This window comes from Homo sapiens, chromosome 7, assembly GCF_000001405.40.
Source record: "Homo sapiens chromosome 7, GRCh38.p14 Primary Assembly".
Classification (NCBI taxonomy): domain Eukaryota; kingdom Metazoa; phylum Chordata; class Mammalia; order Primates; family Hominidae; genus Homo; species Homo sapiens.
Genome location: NC_000007.14, coordinates 78,162,815 through 78,177,214, shown reverse-complemented (window position 1 = coordinate 78,177,214; position 14,400 = coordinate 78,162,815). Strand labels below are relative to the sequence as shown.

Sequence of the window (14,400 nt, the reverse complement as noted above, 5' to 3'; positions counted from 1 at the left end):
TACATCCCATCCGGCTCTGGCACCTGAACTCCATCCTAGCTCATGTAAGGGAGTTAAATCTTAAGCCTCAGCTTTCTCATCTACAAGATGGGGATAACAATAGTGCTCTATTGTAGAGTAGATTTGAGGATTAAAGGAGATAATATATATATATATAAAGGTCTTGGCATTATGTCTGGATCACATTAAGTGCTGAATAAATGTTTATCATTATCAATTTTGTTTCTCTTGTTACTAGATTCTCCCAGGAAATATACTATATATGTGTGTGTGTGTGTGTGTGTGTGTGTGTGTGTGTGTGTGTGTCTATATATGGTTTTTAAATATACTATATGTACTACAAATATTATATATATGTGGTTTTCCTGAGACAGAGTCTTGTCCTGTCACCCAGGCTGGAGTGCAGTAGTGTGATCACAGCTCACTGCAGTCTCAACTTCCTGGACTCAATCAATCCTCCTGCCTCAGTCTCCTGAGTAGCTGGGACTACAGGCATGTGCCACCATGCCTGGCCCCAGAAAATAAAATTTAAAATAAAAATAAAACCTGGGCAGAAATCTTCAGGAGAAAAAAGTTAATCTAATAAATGAGAGGAATCTGAAACGGTTAAAACTGTCTCAGAGTAAAGTAGATTGCCTGGGTGAAGAGTGGGCTCCTTCCCACAAGAGGTATTCAAGCAACCAATGGGAACCTGGCAGGAACCCCGAGGCGCTTCCTCTGCCCTGCGGGAGGAGTTGAACTAGATGATTGATGAGGTCCCTTTCTACAGAAAACCCCAGGAAGCTGAGCTTATACTCCAAGGATGAGGGCTCTCCAGGAAAAAAAGACTTATTTCCGAATTCCTGGGGATGAAATTTGGCAACAGTCAACCAGAACGTCACTAACTTCCCAGCTGCCAAAGAAGACATGAAGGTGCTTTTGCCAAGGAGGATTGGCCAGATTTTTCTTGGTGCTTTGAGAGGAGGGAAAATGCTGAGGTAAAATACAGGGCTCAAGTAACTTCAGACTTAAATTTATTCAGAGACTAAATTAAGAATCTCATGTCACAAGGAAAAGGAACTCTTGGCTGTGTTTTACTCCCATTCACAGCTTTGTTTACTCTCCCCCATCTCCGATTCTGAGATTACCAGGGATCCTAGGTGACCGAGTCAGCCCTCCAGCCTCCCTGCCCTCTATAACTTACCTTGTTTTATAATAGAGAGAACTGAAAACATTCTCAAGTCCCTTCATATCTGTAAGCATTTAACGCACTGATTTATGCTACAGAACCTCCTGACCTCCGCAGGATATTTATACAGCTTGGCTTCCTTCAGGATTGTTCATGTGTCTGCCGATTTTGTTTTAATCAGCAGGATTTTAAATTTCTCCTAAGCAAGGACTTTGTCTTACCCTTTTTTTCCAACATGAGTACTCCATAATTGAAAAACGTGTCATTATCCAGAGTGAGCCAAACTCGAGGTTAAGGTCACAGTCTTCAGACTGCCACCTCTGCCCAAGACTCCTGGCGTCTGCTGAAATAAGTTTGCCAAATGTCAGAGTCTAAGGGAACAGTCTCCACAGACCACCCCAACTTTAAACACTAGCTCTGAATCTGGGGGCCCCACCATGTAGTAGGTTCGCCGTGCACTGGTTGCCAACTTATCTGTGTCTGTTGAGACAGAACACCCACCCACACACCAGGCTACGTGAAGTGGATTTATCACTTACAGGGAGGCAGCAAGTGACAGTAGAAGCCAAGGATTCATGAAGAGCAAGTTCCCCAAGGCTCAGGAAAGCTGCCTAGGACAGATGGAGTCTCCACTCACACTTGCACCTCAGCTGAGGGGCCCCAAAAAGCAGCCTACTGTGGGTTTTCTACCCTGGAGAAGTATGTCACACTGGACTCAAGCACTGAAGGACATCCTGTTTCTAGGGGGGACTGGAACAAAACACAGGCTGTTCCAGCTAGCCCCTCTTTATCTCAAGATGTTGTGTTCCTAGCACCTTCTATAGTTATTCTTGACAACTACAAGAGAAGAAGGGGAAAAAATTGGGTGAGTCCAAGGCCACCCAGAGAACTGTCCTGTGCTCACAGCTTTCCTCAGGTCCAATAATTCACTAGAACAACTCAGAACTCAAGAAAGTGCTGTACTTATGATTATGGTTTGATTGTAGTGAAAGGATAAAAATTAGAACCATCCAAAAGAAGAGATGCACAGGATAAAGTCTGGAAGGGTTCCAAATGTGACACTTCCATCACCCTTAAGGACTTGTTACCCTCCAGCATTCATGCAGAGAGGATTGCCAGCCAGGGATGCTCACCCAAGCTTTGGTGTCCAGGGTTTTTATCCCAGTGTTTTGTTACATGGGCATGATTGATTGAACCATTGCCCACAAGGATGACCTCAATCTTCAGCCCCCTTTCTTCCTCAGAGGCCAGGCTGATATCATGTGGCTCAAAGACACAACCCTCTAATTACAATGCTGGTCTTTCGGGTATGGTCAGCCCCTACCCTAAGATTATTGGTGAGGCTGGCCCCATCCTGGGTCATCTCCTTAGCATAAACCATCAGGTATGGTCAAAGGGGCTCACCATGAATGACAAAGACACTCCTAATTCCAAGGGTTAACCTTTCAGAAACCAGGGAGAATGGCCAGACTTCACTTTGGGCTGAGACCAAATTATTTATGGCAAAGCCATGTGCTTAAAAGATATCAAATGAATGAAACAAAATGAAACCATGCTCAAAATAAAATACAACTTTAAGGCAATTTTTGTATCACTTCTGTGGGACACTGAGCACTTGCTGAAACAATTACAGGGCATTTAAGGGTAAACCCATCTAGAATCCATTGCACTTATACTAACATAATACTTCAAACTTACCAACCTAAGGGGTTTCCACCAGAAAGATGAGCTCTCTGTTTGTTCCGGAATACACTGACTCATGTGCTCTTTTTTCCCCCTTTTACTAATCTCTGAGCTCCTCGAAGGCAAGGACTGTAATTTAATGGTGTTTATGTGTTCCAAGCCTAGCCTGGTACAGTAAATATTTATTAAATGGAATTGAAGACTGTATTTTTTCCACCAAGTCAAAACTGTCACCTGAGCTTCTCAGAACAAGTAAGGATCTGGAGTTTATATTTTCTGAGGCCTCTAAGTTCTACAGGCTCTGTAGAATTAAAGTGGCCTAGTCCCAGAAACAGAGATAGCGTCCTGGCGGCCCTATAGCATGTTTTTTTTAGTTCCCCCAGTATTTTACAATTGTTGAGCGCCGATTAATTTCATCTTTTGAAAAACGGATTTTCATCTTCTCTTGAAAATTAAATTTAGCAACATTGAGCTTGCCTTTCTCCATGACAACAACTGGCTGGAACTAAGCAATGGCCCCTTTTAGACTGAGCCTGGCTGCAGTTCCCAAAACTCCTGTATGCCTGTGCTACTCTTTAAAGCTACTGTCTTTGAGATTCCCATCCCAGTACCCAACCCAGAGGACTGAATTAAAAGACATTGGAAAGATGAATATTTTATGCCAATTGAGCCTTCAACCAGGGCCAGATAATTACAAAACCTAACCTAAGCACGGAAAAGATTATCAGGTCCTTTCTCCCATTAAGAAATACAAATAACATTAAACTATAAAATAAATATTAGGCAAAGCAACAAAGTTTCTAATTCTTTCTATGATACTTACTTTAATAGAGTCTTTACAAAATGAAATTCTGAATTTATTGGACCCCTTGGCTCATGCTTTGTCTGCTTTGGGGGGAAGCCAGCACCCCATTCTGTAGATATTATCTTCAACCGCTCCCCTCCTCCTCCAAAAGCAGAAGGGATTGCATGACTGAGTCACAGGGAGGGAATAGTCTTGGCTGGCTCAAGAGGAGAGTGGCCTTGCTGGACTTTGCCTGGTGCAGAAGCAATAGAATTGTTACCAGAATGGAAGATGTCCTGTACGAAATGAAGCTCAGATGCGTGAATGCAGCCATGATCACCACCCAGCCTCAGGACATCTTTCTGCCTGGTTTGTACACAAGTTCCCAGGTTCCTATCACTTCTGAATATTGGCTTTGCATTCCTGAATCCTTTCTCCCCTCCAGTGGGCAGTCATCAAGTATTTATGATAAGCCTCCTCAGATTACATGGATTGCTGGTTATCCTGTTGTGTTTACTTAGATTTATTCCGGTTTATTCCTTCATTTGAATGATTTAAGACATATTCATGCTGCAAGTTAACAATTTTGACATTTAAGCCATAAAGTAGCAGCCTAAGTCTCTCCAAAACAACCAAAGCCAAAAAATTAGTCCTGAAAACCAGAATATTGAATCTCAGAATGACCCCGTCTGGGAGAGTGAAACTGTAAAGATCTCCCATAAGCCTTTCCTTCCAGCTTTTCCACATTCTAAGTCCAGAGATAACAAACAAAATGTGCTAGCCTCATTTAGTTGCTGGTGAGCTACAAAGGGAGAGGCATGTAAGGTGATTTGGTCCCAACTAAAGGAGGTCTCATAAAGTACATCAAATGGGTTTCTGCCTCTGTATATACGAAATGGTATTGACATCCCAGGGTGCACATTAAACACAACAGCACGGCTTTCAGCAAATAATGAACAGCAGGACTCCTGCTCAGACAAAGCATACGGGCATTTTTCCTGCAAGAGGAAATACTTTTCACAGTTAAATAACAATAGAAATAGAAAGAAGTGAAAAGTTGCCAGAAAGGAACAAAAATGGGATTTCCAGCTGTGAGCTGAGGAGATGGAAAGGCATCAAGAGGGAGAGATCTGGAAAACACTGCATGGGAGAAAAGCCATTCAAAGACAGACGATGACAGACCTAGTCTTTGGCACAGGAGTGTGGTGCACACTGGTTGGAGGAGTTTCAGAAGGAAAGAGCCTGAAATCTGCTCGCCATAGTGGCAAGTTGTCCCAGGCTACAGATACTACAGAGCAGATACTACTGGGCTTAGGCTAACATCGGGCAGTGCAGGAAAGAATGAAAGCGATCAAAAGGCCTGGAAAGGTGGTTTTGGGTTTGTGTGTGTCTTACTTGTTGGTTTTTTTTCTTTTTAGTGTGAGTTTTTCCCCTGACTTACTGGCACCGCAGCCACTTGAATGTGAATTGCTGTTATTTCACATCAAATGTTCTGTTTTGTTCTGTGCCCTCACAGCGAGAGATAAAGTAGAATTGTTTTGTTTCTTTGGGGTTTTAGAGAAGGCAATTGAAAAGATAGGGCCACAGATCAGTTGTTCATGGAGAAGTTCTTTCTTGCTCTGTTTTGCCACAAAGCTCTCCCTTCAGGGCCAAAACAATGGGGATAGGGAAAAAAAAACAAACAAACAAACAAAAAAACCCTCCTCCAAGGGGGCAGAGAAGAGAAAACTGAATAGTGGAACTGAAGGGTCAGCTGAGGCTGAAGAGTCCCCCTGGGCTAGAGGGAGGTAATGAATGGGGCAAGGCTAGAGTTGGCTGGAAGGTTCACTGGCCAGTGGGCCAGGGGTCAGCAAGACTAAAAGGGTGTGACCTGGTAAGTAAGGGATCCTGATCCCAGGACCAGTGGTAACGGGAATAGGTGTCTTAGCAGAACTACAAAGCAGCTACTGTGATGGGTCAGGGAGCTCAGGTCTTGTGCTCAGCCAACTTGGGACGTGATCAGTGAGACCACAGATCCTGTGGCTATTGGGAAGTGAGAAGAATCAGAGCCTTGCTATCAAAGGGTGATTGATCTGAGGACCAGCAGCATTCAACTCCTGGGAGCTTGTTAAACCTGCAGAATCTCAGGCCCCTCCCAGGCCTGCAGCATCAGACTCTCATGGGGTGGGTCCAGAACTGTTTTAATAAGCTCACCCGGTGATTCCTATGCATCCAAAAGTTTGAGAACTACTGACTTAAAGGGTCAGATATCCTGAAGCATGTTCGCAAAAGCTTAAGCAACATGAGAATGTATGCATTGGGAAACCAATATGAGTTACAGTGCAAGATACAATCATAGATTATCCAGTCCCTACGGTGGCAAAGGGGAAATAATAGAATGTGTCAAGGGTACAAATCATATTGGAAGTAAATGAAAAAAGTTGTTTTTTTCTCAGAATAGAGAGATATATCGAGCTATCTCTGTGTCAGCAGTGAAATATAATGCACAAAGGTGCCAAATGCCAAAGGCTAAGGAGCACAGCGGCAGGAGAGCTGGAAGCAGTGACGGTGCAAGTGGTCAGCCTCTGCCCAGCAAAGGCTGCAGCTCCTGATGGATGGAGCAAATGTAACTGTACAATACCGCTAATGGGCAAGCAGCACTAGCAACCACACGGCACACCATGCTCAGCTCAATTCAACTTTATTTAACAGTATGGCAACCTTTTTTTGAAACACAGCTAAGGACACATTATATAATGTAACTATATAATAATATATACATATAATAATTATGTAATACTATATAATTTATACTTGTGTTATAGTGAATATGCTATTTATTAGATATTCAATTGAAGGGGTAATTGAATATACTGCCTATTTAGAAATAAATATATAAGAGGCCTACTCTAACCAACTCTAGCACTACCTTGACCACATGACTGACACCAATCTCCACCACCGTATTTCTTCCATAGTACATCCTTTCTGGCATCCTATATAATTTACACATTTATTATATTTATGATTGTCTGACCACTAGAATGGAAGCTCTATAGGGTAGTGATTTTTGTTTATTGTTCACTGATGAATTTCCAGCACCTAAAAGTATCCTGGGCTCAATGAATATTTGTTGAATAAATGAATTAATGAGGGGAGTACTTCATATCACAGCAATATGGTAGAAAAGCAGATCTTTTACTGGGCTCTGTTTTTCAATACATGATATTAAACTGCTGGCACACACTGTAATGTTGAGAGTATCTGTAAATGTTGCTGTATATCTTGCTGTTCTCCTACAGCAAGAGAGGAATTTTCTGATGTGAAATTTCATCTTTACTATTTTTGTATAGGGCCCAGTAGCAGCTATGGCTCTCTCAGTTGTAACCACTATTTTGTGTTTTACTTTCATCAGTTAGAATCAGAGCTATACCTTAAAATTGATTATTAACCAGCCAAGAAGTTCACAAGCCATTTTCTTTCTCTATTACTAGCTGTAAAGTCTCTCACTAAAGTGTATCGGAAAGCTAAAGGTTGAAGCATTTTCTTAAGGCCAAACCAACTAAACGCACCTTTTCATGGGACAGTGGAGAAACATTTGTTTTAACTGGCTTTTGCACAAAGCACTTACCAAATCTTTGAAGTGCTCCATAGTGGGTTGAGCCTTTTGAAGAATAGATTGGAACATCTTTATAAAGAAACTCATAAATTCAGGTTGGCATGACAAGAAGGGAAAGTGGAGAATATCAGAGCATACCCAACTTCTGGACTGTAGTGAATGGTTACAGTGAGTTGCAGGGAAAGAACTGCACTGTGCAGCCAGTCTAAGGCAGGAGATGTCAGGCCTGTCCTGTGACAGCAATCATGAATCATTTGTCAGAACACTTAATATTCCACACAGAAGCAAATCTATTTCTCACCCTACCTCACTCCCCAGGAATAAGGGGAAAGCAGAAGTAGTGTGGGAAATTTTCATTCCTATGTAGAAAGAGAGCTATTCCATGGACTAAGTCTGTGATGCCCTTCAGACTATAACTTTGCACATACCTGAGAAGTCCTGGGTGTTCAGATCTGGCTATCATGTTAACAGGCCACACTGAGCAGTGAGACTAAGTACAAAGGCAAGCCCGAAGGTCATGATGGAGCAACTCTGCAAATTAGCTGGAATTCACAGATAGGGGATTTGAAAGAAATTATTATGCCTGAAGGAAATCAATCTGGAAGCAAGGGATTTAAAATGAAACATAGCCTCTGTAGTATCATCAGGCTAATGGTAACCACTGCCATCAGCTGCTGTGTGGCTAAGCCACTGGCAAAAGAAAAGGGGGACCTATTGGTCATGAGTTTGAAAAATTGTTTATAGGTTAAACAGCAAAATTAAAATATGTAATACTATTTTCTTTCCTCTGAGAAAGAAAAAAGCCCTGCTAATGCACACTAAACTGAGTGCCTCTAATGGGACATGGGAAAACTTATGTGTTGCCTTTCATCACAGTCCCTGGTTCAGGGAATTATAAAAATAACCACATTTCCTAGACGGGTACCTTCTCACTTCCTGGCACAGTAGCCACCCAAACAGCAGAAGCACTTCAGGGAACAGGCAGAACTGGGAATGTCCTTTGCGTAGAGGACAGTGCTCTGAGGAAGTATTCAAAAGAATAGAACAAAAATCTGGAGAAGGTTTGAGATTTTTTTGAGTAAGTCAACTGGCCAGAAAAAGCCAACTATGAGTTTGCTTTGTTTTGTTTTGTTTTCTCCTTACCCTCCAGCTTTTCAAAGCAAAGAAAAAGAAAACTTTCAATCTTTGTCAGAATTTAAAAATGTGCAACAGCTAGTTTCCCCTTGAGTCTTTTTGATCCCTCGTTAAGTGCCGTGAAAAAAGTTAAATGCTTCACATGAGTTATTTCATCCAATTCTCCCAATAACTCCATGAAGTAGGTCTGATTATTATTTTTCTTATTTTGCAAGTGAAGAAACTGAGGCTCACAGAGTTTAAGAAGCTTTACCCAAGACCACACAAATTGTGAAACGGAGCCAGAATTCAATCCTCACCTTGTTTCAGCCAATTAGCATCAGATTATTTGGGATTAGAATTTTCCTTAAGGGTATTCGTCATTTATGATGAGCCAGAAAGCAGGTGTCCCCAAAACTTCATGGCAGTCTGCAGCATGTTCAAAATATTTATCTCTAGCACTAAACAACTTAAAAGAGTTGAAAGGGCATCTTTCCAACATCTCATTTTTTACTTTACAAGTGCATGCTCAGATTTGAGGGCAAGAGATGGAATGTGAGAATCAAATCTTCCACAAGTTATATAACTGTATATAAAAAGGAAAAAGATGGCGTGAACCTGGGAGGCAGAGCTTGCAGTGAGCTGAGACTGGGCCACTGTACTTCAGCTTGGGCAACGAAGCGAGACTCTGTTTCGAAAAAAAAAAAAAAGGAAAAAGGATTGAAATGTGAATGTCCTTTCCTTCTCACTGCTTCTCTAGATTTTGATTGGAGCTGTCATTGCCATGGGCTCAGCCGACAGAGATGGCCGCCTTCACCCAGGAGATGAGCTTGTGTATGTTGATGGGATTCCAGTAGCCGGCAAAACCCACCGCTATGTCATCGACCTCATGCACCACGCAGCCCGCAATGGGCAGGTCAACCTCACTGTGAGAAGAAAGGTGCTATGTGGAGGTATGTACCTGGAGCCTGCTGCAGGAATCGAGGGTTAGGTGGTAAGATGCTTTTGTGAGACATGGTAAGGCCACATGAAACAAAATTTTAAATCCATTTCTACATTATATGAGGAAGGAAACAACCTAGATATTCCAAAAGTAATGATGATTTTGAAAGTGCTGATTTTCACCCCACTGGACAAAAATCCAGTCTTTGAGGCCTGCATTTTAAATGTATTCATTAAAAATTTCTAGAATAGCCTGGGGCTAATTTAAGGTATGTATGCTCTCTGCTTTCTGGTAGTTTCTAGTTCTAAGAAGAACATGATAGTCATGGAAAATATGCCATTTGAAAATGTGTTTGCAAACCAAGAGCCACAGCATTTTGATGCCATAATGAGGCAACCAGGATGGAAAATTAGCTTTCATTGTACAGCCTGATAAAAGGTAACAATAAAGCTGTTGCTCCTGATATAGAAAAAATACAGCTGTACCTCGCTCCAAGAAAACACAGTTCATATAGTTCCAAATTTATGTAACAGATAAATTGGAAATAATCATTCCCTTTACAACCATTTTCTCAGCTTCATAAAGGAATCCACCAAAGACATACTTTTCAAAGTCAGCCTTTGTATTTATAATATGATTCCACTTATCTCTCTTTACCATATCAACCCTATAAAAAATTATTTATATTTTTAAGGAATATGTCAGTTACAAGCATCACAGTTTTTTTAGAATCTGAGCATTCAATAACATTGGGATTGTATTACCTCCCCTCAGAACCACCCAGCCTTTGTTCTGTGAATCACAGGGGCAGCAGCTCCAATAATGCTCATCTGTCACCTTCTGCCCCAGCGGCCCGCTGGCTTCTCTGCTTGACCCCTTGATAGCCCTCATACAGAATCATCAATACTAGAAGTAGGAAGGACCTTAGCTATATGAGCTTCATCTTGTTACAGATGAAGAAACTGACGCCCAGAGGTTTGGTAGCTTGCCCAGCAGTCCACAGTGAGTCTGTGACAATGCAGAGAGGGACTCTTCTCTCTAAGGCCAGTGCTTATTTCTTTATGTTACTTTGTCCCCTACCCCATTCAACCACAATCCTCTCCCCTAGAGAATTAGAAGATGTTAGGCCAGAACTTAGCAAATGTCACTCCCTAATACAGGGAGTCTTCCCATATGTGCTGTTATACCAGTTGCATTCTAGAAGAGGACCACAGGCTAATGACAGGCTGTGAATGACTAGTAGAGAGGATAAGGCTTATTCATGTGACGAAAAATCCTTTTCTTTCTAAGTCCCCCTAGAAACTAGACCATGAGCAAGGGCGGTCATTTAAAAGGGCAAGTCAAAAGAATTGTTAGCCCTCACCAGTAGAGACTGCTATATATCTTGTATCTTATAGAGGTTTTGCTAAGAGGTGCCATTTGTCTTCAGAAATTCATGGCATGTCACTTGACCCAAAGAAGTAAAGCATCTTAAATTATGCCTTATCCTTGGGCTAGATGCCAGGAGGAAGACAGTGCTTGCTTGGTTAACATTTAACTGTCTCTCTCCCCGCAGAGTAATTTTTAATAAAAAGTTTGCTGTGCTGTATGTTCTATAACCTAAAGATAAATTAAAAAGATACCTGATTTACAAGGAAATATACCACAAAGTGCAAAACCAATGCACCAACATAATTTCATGCTCCCCTTGTCACCAGCTGATTATTGCAAATTAAATTTTCTTTTAATCAACCCGAGCTGTTGAAGTGTGTACCAAATGCTGCAAAAATGTATTCCTGCAATTTGTGGATCATGTGACTTCCGTAAAGATGCTCTTTGCTGCAGCTCTTACCAACTTTACTCAGTTAGGCTTTTGAGTGCATTTCAAGTGCATTTAATTTTTGAAAATGTTATGCTGCAGATTGCTCGTTCACACCAGGAGAGTTTCCAAGTTTATTCAGCCCACTCTTCCTTGAAAGCTTCATCAGTATTGAAAATATTAAGTTCAGCAAAGGATACTTTGATAGCAAAGTAATGCCTTGAAATAGGATGGAAAAGATTTAAAAAACAGGCATGGAAAGGTGACCTTTCTTCATAGCTGCCATTTCTTCAAAGTGAGAAGGGACAACTACAAATGAATATGACAATGGAGATGCCTTTTCAAGGACTGTTGCTGTCATTGTCGTTTTGTTATTATTATGCTTTCCTAAGCAAAGGCAGTGGGAGGTGCAAGCCTGGCTTAGGAGTGGATGGTTCCAAGCTGAGGGGAAGTGAGCAATTAGCTAAGGAAGAGATAGCAGCAGGAAGAGGAGCAGCATCGCCACCCCCTTGCACAGAGGAGCAGTGCTGTGTGTGGGAAAAGGGCTAGGAAGAAGCAAGGTCATAGGGATGACACGCTTCCGCCTTCTCCTTGCCTCAGCTTATACAAATGCCCGCCCCACCTCAGAAGACAGAGGGCACTGGCTTTTTAACTGATGCTCAAGAAAGAGAACACGTTCATTATGAGAGATACAGAAAGGTTAGTTACACTGAGCAAAAACTAAGATAACACAAAAACTTGCCCCAAATATTAAGTTATTTTTAAATGTACATGCTAAGGATAGAAAGGCAAAAAATTTTTTTGAGAAAAGGTCTCACTCTGTCACCCAAGCTGGAGTGCAGTGATACAATCATGGCTCACTGCAGCCTCAACCTCCCAGGCTCAAGTGATCCTTCTGCCTCAGTGATCCATGCCTGGCCTAGAAAGCCAGAATTTCCAATCAGAAGATAAACTAGATTCTCAAAAGTGAGAAGTTGTTGAGTAAAGGAAGAGGCTATCGGGTAGTGCTTCCAATTTTTCTTTTATTCATTTATTTTTATTTTATTGTTTCAGTAGGCAACTATGGATAATAAATTGCCTCCAGTTTTATTTACCAAATAGTCATAGCACACACTTTCACCTTGCATTAGTTTTGAGAGAAGATGCCTTATCCATGCCTCCAGCTCCAGTATTTGGTTGTTTTTTTTCCCAAGGATATGAGAAGAGTGGCTTTAATTATTATACTGAAAAGCATAAATATTTATATGTTTAGCAGATCAGCTTTGAGACATTCAAGCTAATGGCACATTATTTTGGATGCACACCATGTCTCTGAGGAATTTCCTGAAGTGTAAATCTAGAATTGATGTGAAAGAACATTTTATGACTTCATAAAAACATGTTAGAGTCAGTCTTAAAGCTATCAGCATCTTTTCTCTAACACCTAAGGGAAAGTCTAATTCTTGGCCTAATGCCAAAAAAGGGGAGGTTGTCTTGGCAGATGGGTGAAAAGTTTAGCCAGTATTGAAGGTGCCAGTACGTTCCCTGATCCTGGTGACTACACTTTTTGCCAATTCTAAATGCATTCCCTTGTTGTTTGTCTGCAACCATGTCACCCATTTAAATAAGCTGTCTGCCTTGATGAGTATAAACTGGGAATGTCTGCACAAATGCCTATAGGCAGGCCAGCCCCTAACATTTTCAGGGCCACAGCCTGTAGGCTGCTCCTGCCCCATAAGGACCATGAGGGACCTGGTACACATGCATGTGGACATCACAGCCCACATGACCAAGCTCTGTCCATACATACATCCCATTGCCTCAGCCATGCTTCAAGGCAAAATATGCCTGTCTGCAATGCTGTCATCCTTCCAAAGACAGTCCTGAGAAGAGACCCAGGCACATCCTGGAAGCAGGCAAGGTCTATATGGTTACAGAATTCTAGAGTCCTGGTATGTAGCATATGGTCTAGAAGAGAAACCAAGGGTCCAGTTGAACAAGTTCCTTCAGCCCTGAGAATTCCTCACTGTGTGAATAAATGAGTAAATGAGGTATTTGCAAGAGGTCTTGGGGAGTGGGCAGGACTGTGGTGACCTGCAAACCCCATACCCAGTTGAAGGAGCAGCCATCACTGAGCTCCAGCCAACTGGTGCCAAATGTGTCAAGAAAAACTGGAAATCAGTATTTCTATAAAAATCTCCCTATTTACAAACATTGGCAATTAATTTTTTTTTTTTTTTTTGAGACGGAGTCTTGCTCTGTTGCCCAGGCTGGAGTGCAGTGGCGCGATCTCAGCTCACTGCAAGCTCTGCCTCCTGGGTTCCTGCCATTCTCCTGCCTCAGCCTCCCAAGTAGCTGGGACTACAGGCGACCACCACCACGCCCAGCTAATTTTTTTGTATTTTTAGTAGAGATGGGGTTTCACCATGTTAGCCAGGATGATCTCTATCTCCTGACCTCGTGATCCGCCCGCCTCGGCCTCCCAAAGGGCAATTAGTTTTAACAATTATCGAATGAAATATAGGCCAGCACTGTGCAGACCAGAAACAGCTCTTGGCCAATAGTTAAATGTACTGGTCTACACCATCTTACCTGGCAGGCATTGTCACTGACTCCCACATTCCCAATGGGAGACCCTCTCTTAGCACAGTGATGAGTTCCACTGTGACTGGTGGAGACGAAACAGCTTACCCTAAAAACTAATTATTTAGGCCAGGCACGGTGGCTCACGCCTGTAATCCCAGCACTTTGGGAGGCCAAGGCAGGCAGATCACAAAGTCAGGAGATCGAGAACATCCTGGCTAATACGGTGAAACCCTGTCTCTACTAAAAGTACAAAACAAATTAGCCGGGCGTGGTGGCGGACGCCTGTAGTCTCAGCTACTCGGGAGGCTAAGACAGGAGAACGGCATGAACTCGGGAGGCAGAGCTTGCAGTGAGCCAAGACCGCGCCACTGCACTCCAGCCTGGGCGACAGAGTGAGACTCTGTCTCAAAACAAAACAAACAAACAAACAAACTAAACTAATTATTTGACTTTAGTAGATACTAAGTGATTGAATTCTATGCAGCCACTTGTGTATGAGCTAGATGAATGAGTCAGGGATCCTAGAAATTAGTGAATTTTCTTTAAAAAAATTATATAATACATGAATTTTAGTCACTTTAGGATGTTTTACTATATTATTATAAAACAAGGCTGTTAATGCCCTACAGTAGGAAAGACCATTGGAAAGAAGACCGTCTCACTTGGGTCCAGAGCCAGATGAGTAGAAAAATGATGTGGGGTCAATCCCTGAAAGACAATCATGTGACCAGTTTTTAAGTGTCAAGGG

At 42.1% G+C, this 14,400-nt stretch overlaps 1 protein-coding gene across 15 annotated transcripts in view; it reads left to right on the top strand.

Annotated features, from left to right (window-relative positions):
• Window positions 1-14,400, top strand: part of MAGI2 (membrane associated guanylate kinase, WW and PDZ domain containing 2) — a 1,436,613-nt gene that overhangs the window by 1,276,453 nt on the left and 145,760 nt on the right. For all 15 annotated transcript variants that reach the window (XM_047421093.1, XM_017012845.3, NM_001301128.2 and 12 more), the window contains one exon: window positions 9,107-9,299. In XM_047421093.1, the coding sequence (XP_047277049.1) occupies window positions 9,107-9,299 (193 nt within the window). The remainder of the gene's footprint in view (window positions 1-9,106; window positions 9,300-14,400) is intronic.